This window comes from Homo sapiens, chromosome 11 (assembly GCF_000001405.40).
Source record: "Homo sapiens chromosome 11, GRCh38.p14 Primary Assembly".
In the NCBI taxonomy this organism is placed as follows: Eukaryota; Metazoa; Chordata; class Mammalia; order Primates; family Hominidae; genus Homo; species Homo sapiens.
The window spans coordinates 96,569,642-96,583,865 of NC_000011.10; positions in this window are offsets into that span (position 1 = coordinate 96,569,642).

A 14,224-nucleotide genomic window follows, 5' to 3' on the forward strand; every position below is an offset into this window, starting at 1 on the left:
TTGTGGTTGGTAAAGATGTGTAAGATAAGTTGTCATAAAGTGTTAAACTGAGTTTCAGAGAGCATCCTTTTTATTGTAACAAATATTGACAAAGATTAAAATATAGTTAATCCCAGTGGAGGGCTGCTCTGTAACATTCCATGTAGTACAACTTGGCTCCGGGGTTTTTCTTATCAACCCTCTTATCCTCTGGATTCAGGGGTGTATTGAGAACTGAGGATGCTGAGAGCAGGAATCAGACCCTTGAGAAGTGTGGGAGGAAAGGGCGCTTAATAGATTCCTTGAAAATGCACCCAACCCAAACACATGGGACAAAACCAGAAGTAACATTATAAGGTTATCTACTTCGTTATTTATCCTTATATTCATATTTCTTGAGTACTGAAGGCAAGAATTGCAACTTTCCACTTTCAAATGCTTTCAAAACCATTCAAAAGAGGACAATACTTGATGGGTGGTATTTTAAGTGCTTAGTGAAATTTTGTTGGAACTGATACTCCATTTTTCTTTTCTGAATAATGACCCCAGAGAGAGAAATAATCTTAGAACCATAGAGCTATAAACATTCAAAGTTGGAGGTATTTAAAGGTCATCCAGTTTAACCATTCATTGATGCTTTAGCTCAAGTTTTTTATTATGACATTTCATATCTTCTATAGATGTGAAACCACCCGCTATAGAAAGATGATCAAGTAGCAACGGTTTAAGAGCCCAATGGGTGTAATTGATATCTGTATGGTGCCAATATTAGCTTGCCAGGACTGCTGTAATAAGTACCACAAATTGGATGGTTTAAGCAACAGAAATTTATGATTTGCAGTTCTGGAGGCTAGAAGTCTGAGATCAAGGTATGGATAGGTTTGGTTTCTTCTGAGGGCTTTCAGGAAAGGATCTGTTCCATGCCTTTCCCAGCTCCTGGTGGTTTACTGACAATCTTTGGGATTCATTGACTTGTAGAAGTATCACCCTAATCTCTGCCTTCATTTTCACATCACTCCCGCTGTATGTGTGTCTGTGTCTAAAATTTCCCTTTCTTATAAGAACACCAGTCATATTAGATTAGGGGACCATCCTACCCTAGTATGAACCCTGTTAATTAATGATGTTTGCAGCAACCCTATTTCCAAATAAGGTCATATTCTGAGGTACTGTGGTTAGGACTTCAACATATACATTTAGAGGAGAACACAATTCAACCCGTAACAGTGCCTTTAAAACATAAGCATATATTCAATACCTGACTCTCCCCAGAATACTCCATACAGGTTTTTACTTTTTTACACCTCTTATGTTATTGTTCCATATTGATAGATTTCTCTTCTGTTGTAATGCCACTTTGTGCTGCTCTTATCTCTATTAAACACTTAGATAATTGTGATTTGAGATATAATTGTTTATGTGGCTAGAGTTTGGGATACAAAAATCAAACAACAGATAAAATCTCCAAATTTTAATTATTCTTTTATTCTCTCATTCAATACATATTTATCAAGAAAGCAATATATGTACCAAATGTTCTAGACACTGAGAATGTGGAGGTGAATACACATGGCTAGCCAGGTCCCAACCCTCATGGATAATACATTCTAGTGGGAGATGTGAGTGATTCCTCAGCTTCTATACAAATTGTTTTGGAAAATTTATTAATAGATTAAGATAAATTCTGACTGGCTTCAGATGGTGTTGAGTGGCCTAAAGATGTAGGCCAAGACATCTTTCAGGATCACAGAGGCATTGTTTTATAATGATTAAAAACTTAAAATTACATATTGAGGCACATGTATACGTATGTAACTAACCTGCACAATGTGCACATGTACCCTAAAACTTAAAGTATAATAATAAAAAAAAATTAAAAAATTAAAAAAAATTAAAAAAAGATACCCAGAAAAAAAAGAAAAAAAAATTATATATTGAGTATGAATTGGTTATTGATTAGCTATATGACTTTGTGTAAACTACTTATCCTCTTTGAAATTCAAATTCTTTAATTTTTTTGTTCTTTTCAGTGTGATTTCTTCTTTAACCTATAAGTTATTTGCAATTTCTTGTTTTTTTAGGTTTTGAACTAGTAAAATATACGAAATTTCACATTTACGTCAGTATTCAGCCTGAATCTGCTCTGCCCACTTGATCTTACAAAGTCCAGATAGCTAAATGTCCATTTTATAGTCATTTCTGGCATGTTTTGTGTTCATGAAAGTTACCGTCTTATCATCATAACCATATGGGTAAATAAACAACAATTTTATTTGAATTTATATTACCTAAAAATTTCACTTTGAAATATAAGTAAGCATACATCTGTAATGAAATGAAAACATCTCATCATATGCTTTATATGTTGAAATCCCCATGAGTCACTTGGGAGTATAGTGTAAATTTATTACTGTTAGAGGGACATACTGAAAAACTGATAATTGTGAAACCTGCCAATTTATTTGTACAGACACTGAATATTAAGGATATGAAAATACTATAATAATTAGGGAAATGAATTTATTATTACGGAAATGCTAAGAGTATATTAGCTAATTTTAGGAAGAACATTATACTCTTTATCACAAATGTGTATTGCAGTGAAGTTATAATACAAGGCAGAAAAGTGAAAAATAGATTGTGATGCAATTTTTCCCAGTTGAAGTAGTTGACATTAAATAAAACCTTTAAAGATTGTATTTTGTTTTAAGTTATTTAATATTATTTAGATTCCTATGACTTACCTAAATTCAGTGGTCAATTCAGTTCTTATATAACTTGAAATATCAGCAATTGATACAGCTGATTACTGCTTCTTCCTTGAAATATTTTCTTCACTTGGATTTCAGGTCACTACACATTCTCCTATTGACAGACATCTATTTCCTCTACATTTTTTTTTCTCTATTATAAGTAAAGCTGCAATCAACACTTTCATGCTTATTTTTTATGGGCCTAAGTTTTCAATTTTTTCATACTGAGGACTGGAATTGCTAGACATAGGTGTATGTATAATTTTATTTTAAAAACCTGCGGTCGGGTGCAGTGGCTCATGCCTGCAGTCCCAGCACTTTGGGAGGCCAAGGTGGACGGATCACAAGGTCAAGAGATGGAGACCATCCTGGCCAACATGGTGAAACCCTGTCTCTACTAAAAATACAAAAATTAGCCGGGCTCAGTGGCGTGTGCCTGTAGTCTCAGCTACTCGGGAGGCTGAGGCAGCGGAATCACTTGAACCCAGGAGGCGGAGGTTTCAGGGAGCCAAGATCGTGCCACTGCACTCCAGCCTGGTGATACAGCGAGACTCTGTCTCAAAAACAAAACAAAAACAAAAACCCTGCTAAACAGTTTTCTAAATTGGTTCTACCATTTTATACCCCCACCCACGGTATATGAGAGTTCCAGTTGCTCCTCATTCTCTTGGTAGAGTCAGTCTTTTTAGTGGTAACTATTCTAGTGGGTGTGTAGTGATGTCTAATTGGCTTTAATTTATATTTCATCCATGCCAATGATTAAACATATTTTCCTTTGTATATCTTCTTTTCTTTGTATACACAATTTTTGAAGTATCTGTCTAAATCCTTTTTCCCATTTTTAATTGGGTTGTCAGTCTTTTTTATCATTGATTTGTGAAATCTTGGTAATTTTTTTTCAATTTGGCTTGTCTTTTTTTCTTAAATGTCTTTTGATAAGAAAATTTTAATATTTATAATGCATGATTTATAATTTTTCTTTATGTTTAGTGTTCCATGAATTCTACCTAAAAAATTATTATCTAGCCCACCTATTTCTGGATTCTACTTTGTTCTATTGTTCCATTTTTCTTCTATACTTATGTCAATATGACACCATCTTAATTACTCTGGTTTTATAGCTTTATAGTAATCATTAGAATCAGGCAATGTTTTTTCTTCAACTTTGTTCTTCTTTCTTAAGATTGCTTTGGCCATTCTAGGTTGTTTGCATTTTTATATAAAGTTTAGTATCTGCTTGCCAATTTCTATAAAAAACCTGTTGGGATTTTGACTGGAATTGTATTGAGTCCATAGCTTAATATGGGGACAAATGCCATTTTTATAATATTGATGCTTTTAACCCATTGCTATGGTATATCTCATTTCTTTAGGTTTTCCACAGTTTCTCTCAGCAATGTTCTGAAGTTGTCTAAATAGAGGTCTTTTATATCCTTTGTTAAATGCACTGCTGGTGTTTTGGATTTTTTTTATGGTACTCCTAACAAAATGTATTGATTTTTTAAAAATGTCAATCTCTAGTGCTTGTTGCTAGTATAAACAAATACAATTGATTTTGTATATTGACCTTGTATCCTAAGACTTGGCTGAATTCAGATATTAGATCTATTAGTTTGTTTGGGTGAAATCCTTTGGATTTCCTAGGTATACATGTATTTCACTTGTAAATAAGTACAGTTTTACTTTTTCTTTCCCCATATTCATACCTTTTATTTAAAATGTCTTCTTGCATTAGGTAGAATCTCATTACAATGTTGAAGAGAAGTTCTGAGAGCAGATATACTTACGTTTTTTGTGTGACCTCAGTGACAAATTGTTCAATATTTTACTACTAAGTATAGTATTTACTGTAGATTTTTTGTAGAAGTGCTCCATTAAATAAATAAAAGGATATTTTATTTTATTTCTAGTTTTCTGAGAGGTCTTTAAAATCATGAAGCAGTACTGGCTTTTGGCTAAACCTTTTATTGCAATTATTGCAATAATTATATAGTCATTCTCTTGCATTATTGGAGTTAATTCTGCCATTTCTTGATTGTCTTTTGGAATGAATTGATACTTCTTTATTAAGTACTTTTACATTTATATTAATGAGGGATATTGGACTGTTATGTTCTTTCCCTGTAATGTCATTGCCAAGATTTAACTTTAGGGTATTAGTTTCAAAATGAGTAAAAGTGTTCCTTGCTCTTCATTTTCTGAAAGTGCGTTGGTGATATTGGTTTTTTTTTGCTTTATTGTTTGATAGACTTCACCATTGATGCCATCTTGGCAGAAGCTTCCTTTTTAGGAAGGTTTTAAATTATTGATTTAATTTCTCTAATGGATGCAATGTAATATAGATTGTCTATTCTTTTGTTTTGAAAAGTTGAATGTTATTTGCTTTTTATATTTATTATTTTCTTATCATTATCATTTTATTTCTTCTATTTATCTTGAGTTACTTTGTTATTCTTTCTCTAGCTTCTCAAAGTGAAAGCTTAGATCTTTGATTTTACACTTTTCTTGTTTTTTTAAGTAAACATTTAAAGCCCTAAATTTCTCTCTTAGAACCTCATTAGATGGCATGTCATACATTTTGACATGTTGTGTTTTTATTATGATTAAGTTAAAATACTTTCTAATGTGTATTTGTGATTTCCTCATCGACACTGGATTATTAAGAAGTGTATGCTTAATTTTCAAATATTTTGGGGGATAATCAAGATATATTATTGATTTTGAGTTCTAATTAAACTGTTTTCTGGTCAAAGAATATGTTTTGTGTGCAAAAAACACTGCAAATTTTTAAGGCTTATTTTATATGCCTCATCATATGATCTAGCTTGGTGAATATTCTATGTGCACTTGAAAAGCTTGTATATCCTCAGCTGCTGGGTGTGGTGCATTGTAATTTCATTAGGACAAATTTGTTGATAATGTTCAAATTCTTCTTCAAATTTATATTGATTGATCTAATTGTTTTATCGATCATTGATAGAAGAGTATTAAAGTTTCCAACAATAATTATTAATTAATTATTTTTTCTCTTTAATTCTGTTAAATTTTGTTTCATTTACTTTGACTCTGTTGTTAGGTTAACATTAAGAATTGCTGTTTTCTTGATAAATTAGCCATTTTATCATTATGAAATGCCCCTCTTTATCTTAGCAAATATTCTTTATTTTGAAGTCTCTTTTGTTTAATATTAATTGGGTCATGCTATTTTTCTTTTGACTACTGTTTATATAGTGTGTATATATGTACATATATATATATATATACACACACACATATACATATATATTTCTGTCTTTTTTCTTTTAACTCATCTGTGACTTTCTACCCAGTCTCTCTCTTTACCTCCTTCTTAAGGTCAATAACTCGCATATTTTCCATTTTGAGGCTGTTTTATGGATCTTTTAGGTGTGCTTCATTCTTTTTTATTCTTTTTGACCATATTTCCAAATAGCCTGTATTTCCAAATAGCCTGTGTTTAAGCTTACTAATTTTTTCTTCTGCTTGATCAATTGCTTAGAGGCTGATGTATTCTTCAGTATGCCAATTGCATTTTTCACCTCCAGAATTTCTGCCTGATTCTTTTTAATTATTTCAATTTCTTTGTTAAATTTATCTGATAGGATTCTGAATTCCTTCTTTGTGCTATCTTGAATTCATTTGAGTTTCCTCAAAACAGTTATTTTGAATTCTCTCTCTGAAAGTTCACATATCTCTGTCTCTCTGAGATTGGTCCCTGGTGTCTTATTTAGTTCATTTGGTGAGGTTATGTTTTCCTGGATGGTGTTGATGCTTCTGATGTTCATTGGTGTCCGGGCATTGAAGAGTTAGGTATTTATTGTAGTATTCTCAGTATGGGCTTGTTTATACCCATCATTCTTCAGCAGGCTTTCTAGATATTTGAAGGGACTTGGATGTTGTGATCTAAGTTTTTGGTCACTGCAGCTATATCTGAATTAGAAGGCACCCCAAGCCCAGTAACACTGTAATTCTTGCACTCGTAGAGGTACTGACTTGGTAGTCTTCAATTTGATCTGGAAGAATTCTTTTGATTACCTGTCTTTTTATTATCCTGTGGCCTAGACAGCAGAGATTCTTCTTCTCTTCATTTACTTTCTCCCAATCAAATGGAATCTCTCTATGTGCTGAGCTACCTGGAGCTGGAAGAGGGGCACCAAAAGCACCCCTGTGGCCACCATCACTGGGACGGTGCTGGGTCAGACCTGAAGCCAGCACAGCATGGGGTCTTGTCCAAGGACCACTGTAACCACTACCTGGCTACCATCTATATTTGCTCAAGGTCCCAAGGCTCAACAATCAGCAAGTGGTGAAGCCAGCCAGTCTTGTGTCCTTGCCTTCATGACAGCAAGTTCCTTTGGGCCCCAGATGGGTCCGGAGATATATCCAGGAGCCAAGGCCTAGAGTAACAAATCTTAGAAATTTACCTGGTACTCTATTCTACTGTGGCTAAGCTGGGGCTAAAATCACAAGACAAAGTCCTTCCATTCTTCCCTCCCCTTTCCCCAGGCAGAGAAGTCTCTCCCTGTGTCCACCACCACCACCACAGGCCCATGGGAGTACTGCTAGGATGTTGCCGATGTTCACTTAAGGCCCAAGCACTCTTCAGTCAGCTTGTGGTGAATGCTGCTAGGCCTGGGACTGATGCTACAGGGCAATGGGCTCCCCTCTGGCCCAGGATAGGTCCAGAGATGCCATCCAAGAGCCAAGGCTAGAATCAGAGACCCCAAGATCCCCCTAGGTGTTCTTTCCCACAGTGGCTGAGCTTGTGCATAAGCTACAAGACAAAGTCCCACTTACTCTTCCCTTTGCTTTCTGAAGCAGAAGGAGTCTCTCTTCACAGCCACCATAGCTATGAATATGCTGGGTCACACCTGAAGTCAGCATGTCTCAGAGTCTCACCCAAGGCCCATGGCATGTTCTACCCAGTTACCACTGCTTATTATTTAGGGCCCAAGGACTCTTCACTCAGCAGGTAGTGAATACTGCCAGGACTGGGTTCTTCCCTTCAAGGAAGTGGGTTCCTTTTTGGCCTAGGTTGCGTGTAGACATGACATCTGGGAGTGAGGGCCTGGGATGGGGGCCTCATGACTCTCCCTGGTGCCCTATCCTATTGTGGCTGAGCTAGTATCCAAGTTGCAAGACAAAGTTCTCTTTACTCTTTCCTCTCCTCTCCTTAATTACAAGGAAGGGGTCTGTTTTGGAGCTGTCAGTTTCACTGCCTGGGATTAGGGGAGGGGTGTTGCAAGCACTCCCTTAGCCTCCCAAACTGGTATCTCACAGGTCACATATCTCCTAAGTCTACCGGCTCTGAGCCCAGCACAGCACAAAGACTTGCCTAGGAATTGCAGTCCTTATGGCCTAGACAACCTTTCAAGATTATTTAGGACCCCAGAGCACTTTAGCATGTTGGCAAGTCTAACTGAAACTCAAGTTCCAACTGCTATAATGTAGGATTCCCCTCTGGCTATGGCTGGTCCAAATGCTCCCTCCATGGACGTCAGCTGAGTATTTCTCAGTGTTGACAGCACTGAGTTTTAATGCAAAGTCTCACAATCACTATACTCTCTCTCCCCCAAGTGCAGAGTCTCTGCCTCATATGGCTGCTGCTGGGGAATGGGGGAGGGGTGGTGTCGGCATTTAAGACTGTCTTTTCTACACTCTTCAGTGCCTCTTTCAGTGAACTGAGATTAAAACCAGGCGCTGTGATTGCTCACCTGATTTTTGAGTCTTAGGAAGATACTTTTCCTTTGTGTAGATAGTTGTCAGTTTGGTGTTCCTGCATGGAAGATGATTGGTGGAAGCTTCTATTTGGCTATCTTACTCCACCTTGTCCAAATTTTATTAACTCTTTTTGAAATATTAATGAGAGTGATATGTGGGAGTGGGTTGAATATGTGTGTATCTGTACATGCACGTATGTGTGTGTGTGTGCATGTGTGTATGAGTGTATGTAGCTCACAGACAGAATTTACCATATAGTCTTGATTGGAAGTCTTGCTTTTTTATCAATAAGTCAGGAATAATATTTCCTTTATAAACTTATTGCAATCTTTAAATTATGTAAGCCATGTAGAGTGGTTAGCAAGATGCCTGGCATATAAAAAGGCTCAGTAAATATTATGGGGCATTTTACTATGAAACAGAGTCACTCACTCAGTAATTGCAAAGTGGTAGATAACAAAAGCATGAAGAGATAAAAATTGCATCAGCCCTGAAATTGCATTTGGAATATATTTTTTGAGATAATCTCTTTCTGAAAGTATAGACACTATGGGTTGGGGTTGGAATTCTTGCTTTGGCCTCTGGATATTGTTTTTGAAGGAATATTTCTCTCCTGGGTAGCTATTCAGTGAAAGGCAGTGTTAAGAGAAAATTCTCCGTGAGTCTTTTGTGTTCCTGAATGTCTTGCAAAGTGGTTCACCGAAGCCCTTTGATCTAAACTATCTTTTCAAGGATATATGCACAGTGAACATCTATACAAATTCCTATCTAATGTCAGCCCAATTTACACTAAGAATTTCTGGATTTTCTTTGATTAATTTTTCAAGTGTCTTTCCCTCCTCTAACACTCCAGGCTTTCACAGATCCCACCAGATAATAAAGATAACACAATTTTCTCATGGGCTTGTGGGTGGAAGCAGCTCAGTATTATGCTCAAAGGCATATGCTGCTGCCAATGGGCCTGGGTGGTATTCTTACTACTATTGCCCATCTGAGCATTATGACCTCTTTTGAACATGACCTTCAGGAAAGTGAATCTGCAGAGCTCATCAAAATGTTATTTGCCCAAAGTAGGCATCTTGGTTTTCCAAGATTTCTTCTGTAGTTTCTTTTACTCTCCTAAACTTTACACATCTGTAGATGGTCTCTTAACTCATAAGGTTGCAATGGATATTGGGATTCTCTCACCCATGATTGATTATGTGTCTCCCCCTCTGGAAGAGCTGTGCGGTTTGATAGGAATGGGACTAAGTTACTTCTTACTCCCCAACCTTGCGTCGTCCTTTAAATTCCGCATATAACATTCTGAGTAGAGAAGAGGTAGAATGAGATGCAGCAACATATACATTAAAAATTTCTTTAAAAATCTCACCAATGTCAAGCTGATTCTTCTACTTCAGCAACAGTTTATTAGATCTCTTCAAAGCAACACTTTTGGAGGCTAGGTATTTGAGGGAAGTCTGTACCTCTTACTTTTAAAATACATTTTATTGTGATGAAAGCTCTCAGAGTTGCCTTTTCTGTGCAGCTGTCTGTTATTTGAAATATTTGCTTGATATTATTTTTCTACATCTGGTTCAGCAATAATTTCATGGGAACATTACTTGTCAATTCTGCATTCTCACTCTTTTTGACACCCTCCCTCCAACATTGACTCCCTAGTGGTGATAAGTGCAGTGAAGAGCCACCAGCAGAAGAATGAAATACTATTTCTTCTTTGTTCTCACCTTACTCACAGTGATCATTGAATTTGTTTTACTGGCTGAAACTGGAGCTGCCTCTGCAAGCAATTAAGTTGTCTTAACCAAACAAATGCAGTGACTGAAATTTCCACACAGCACAGTGTTTCACATTTACTGCATCTGGGGCTTGAGAAAAATCACACTTTAAAGCAATATGAAATAAGTTTTACAAAACTGGCAGGAATTCAATGTTACATAGAAAATCAAGTAGGCTAAACTACTGAGAAATCAAAAGTATATAAGTGTAAGAGAAAATTATATGGCGGAATAAGGCAGGAGAAATATAAATAAGAGCAAATAAGGCCTTTTAGGAGTGACAAAAAAGAAGGAAATATCAAGATAACAACTATATTTTCTAAACACAAATTTGCCTTACAACAGCAATTCTGGACACAAGACAGTGCATTCCAATTTTAGAAAGTGTTTTATTTTTATTTCCCTGGAGGTACTTTTAATTTTTCACAATAGTATCTTAAAAACATCATTTTAGAATAAATTTACTTTTGATTTACATCTTACATGTGTGGTGAATGCCTTCAAAGATGTTAATGCACTGGTGTTGTTGAGCTGGAAAGTGTGTCTCTCCAAATTGATAGGTTATACTTAGGAAATTGATGGTACAAAGAAGCAGGCACACACCTAGACGATAAATCAAACTAAGCACCATATATTTTCTGACCCTGATACTTAAATGATAACTGGTTTACTTAAGCAACAACTCTCCAGTCATTTTTGTCAGTTTTCTGAATGATGACGCATGTATTTTGCAGCTCTTTTTATTTATTGATATTGGCAGAAGAATAAATGTCAGTTTGTATAAAAAGATGTCCAAACAAGTCCCATCTTCTCATTTTATTACATAATGATTATAAATACATATTTCAAGTTTGATGACCTTGAAGGAATTCTTGGTAAGGTTACCAAGGGGAGGAAAGGTTGTCAAACAAATAGACTTTATGTGGCGATTTATAGTCTTCTAGAGAAAGGTATTCTTAGCACTTCCTAGTCAACCTACAATGTAGAACAAGGAAACAAAAAACCTGCAGGCTGTAAATAGTGTGTTCAAAATTCAACCTTCAAAAAAGGAGCAGAGAAACCTTGTGAATGGAATATAAATAGAGAAGGAAGACTGGAAGAAAATTAGTTGTAATAGAATATACACGGATTTTGAGAACGTTGGACTGTGCTCTCCATTCTTACACAGTGTGGGCATTTTGTGGCAATAAAGTTCATTTCCCTTTTTAAACAGATGTTTCCTCTCATCTTAAATAATTATTTCAAAAAATTCGAACTTACAACATTATTAAAATAGAAACAAAATCTGAGCCTTATCAAAATCTGACTGATTATGTGGGAATCCTTAGTTGACCCTAAGTGAGAATTAACCCCTAAGAAATAGCAGTAACCAGGAAAATTAGCAAGATGTGGAAGTCAGTAAAGACCAGAAAAGGGAGTGAGAGCCAGGGTATTCACATTGGAATGAAAGCTCTGATAATTTCTCATGTATATACTTCCTTTAGAAAAGGCTGTTAGCATATCTGAGTCTCAGTTTCATCATATATAAATGTGAAAATAATATTGCCTTTCCTACATCGAAGGATTGCTGATCAAATCAATTTTCCATCTCCCATCAGGGATTGTAGTTTATGGACCCTAGCATCTTTTTATCATCCCTCATCCCTCTGCTATCCTTTCTTCCTTCTTTATCCGAATAGATTCCATGACCTGCCATTGGAATTACTCCCTTTCAAATGTGCCCAACTCCTTTTTCCCTGTTTGTTTCTTCAAATTCATTTGGCAGAACCACCACTTGGGTTAAATCTAACTCTCTACATACTTTGCACCTGCATTCATAAAACTGTATGTATCTGGAAAAACACAAAATCATGAAAAGTAATTTCAGTTTAAATTCATAACAATTATTTTCAAGTAGGCATTTAGTCCTATGCTACCACATTGGATTTTAATTTTATTTCTTGTTTTATTTTCTGGTTAAATTTTACTACTGTGATTATGTTAACTTCATAAAATGAATGCCTTTTTCTATTGTTTGTAAAAGTTTTTATATGGTAGGAACTATTTGTTACTAAATGTTTAGTAGAATTAATCTGTAAAGCTGTCTGGATTAATAAACAAAATCAAAAATAAAAAAGAAGGTAATATATTGGATACCACAGAAATACAAAAGATCATCAGACACTATTGTAAACAACTATATGTTAAAAACCTGGAAAACCTAGAGGAAATGGATAAATTCCTGGTCACATATAGCCTACCAAGATTGAACCAGGAAGAAATAAAAGAAATAAACAGACCAATAATGAGTAACAATATTGAATCAGTAATTAAAAAAACTCCCAGAAAAGAAAAGCCCAATATTGGATGGCTTTATTGCTGTGTTCTACCAAACTTATAAAGAAGAACTAACACCAATTCTTTTCAAACTATTATAAAAATGTGAAGAGGAGGAACTTTTTTTCTAACTCATTCTTTGAGGCTAGCATTACTCTGATCTCAAAACCAGACAAGGACACAACAAAAAAGAAGACTACAGGCCAATCTCCCTGATAAACATAGACACAAAAATTCTCAACAAAATGCTAGCAAACTGAATTCAACAACACATCAAAAAGATAATACACCATGATCAAGTGGATTTATCCTAGGGATGCAAGGATGATTTAACGTCTGCACATCAATAAATGTGATACATCACATCAACAGAATGAGGGACAAAACCATATGATCATCTCAATAGAAGCAGAAAAATCATTTGATAAAATTTAACATCACTATAATAAAAATTCTCAACAAGCTAGACATAGAAGGAACATACTTCAACATAATAAAGCCATTTATGACAAACCTGCACTTAACATCATACTGAAGAGTGAAAAGCTGAAAGCCTTTTCTCTAAAAACTGGAACAAGACAAGAATGCCCATTTTCACCACTCCTATTCAACATGGGACTGGAAGTTCTAGCCAGAGCAATCAGGCAAGATAAAAAAGTAAAGGGCATCTAAATTGGAAAAGAAAAAGTCAAACGGTAGTCCTTCAACATAAATAAGGTTAAAAAAAAGTTGAATTGTCCCTCTTTGTAGATGACATGATCTTATATTTAGAAAAACCTAAAAAAACCTCTTAGAACTAATAAAAAGTTGGAGGATACAAAATCAACATACAAAAATCAGTAGCTGTTTTTGTACACCAACAACAAACTGAAGGAAAAAGAAATCAAGAAAGCAATTTCATTTGCCACAGTTACACAAAAAGAGAAAATACCTATAAATTTAACTAAGGAGGTGAAAGACCTCTACAAGGACAAGTACAAAACACTAACGAAAGAAATTAAAGAAGGCAGAAACAAATTAAAAGGCATTCATGCTCATGGATCAGAAGAATTAATATTATTAACATAGTTCTACTACTCAAAGCAATCTATAGATTTAATGCAATCCCTGTTAAAATACCAATTATGTTTTTCAAAGAAATAGAAAAAAAATCCTACAATTCACATGCAACCAAAAAAGAACCTGAACAGCCAAAGCAATCCTGAACAAAATAATCAAAGCTGGCAGAATTACACTACCTGATTTCAAAATATACTACAAAGCTATACTAACCAAAACAGCACAGTATTGGTATAAAAATAAACATAGACCAAAGGAACAGAATAGAGAACCCAGAAGTAAACCCACATATTTACAGCCAACTTTTAAACAAAGGTGCCAAGAATATACATTAGGGAAAGGACATCCTTTTCAATAAAGGTGCTGATAAAACTGGATATCTTATGCAGAAGAATCAAACTAGATCCCTATCTCTCACCATATACAAAACTATTCAAAATGGATTAAAGACTTCAATGTAGACCTGAATCTATGAAACTGCAGTAAGAAAACAGAGGGGTGACATTCCAGGACATCAATCCAGGCAAAGATTTTGTGGCTAAGACTTCAAAAGCATAGGCAACAAAACAAAGCAAAAAAATAGACAAATGGGACTATTAA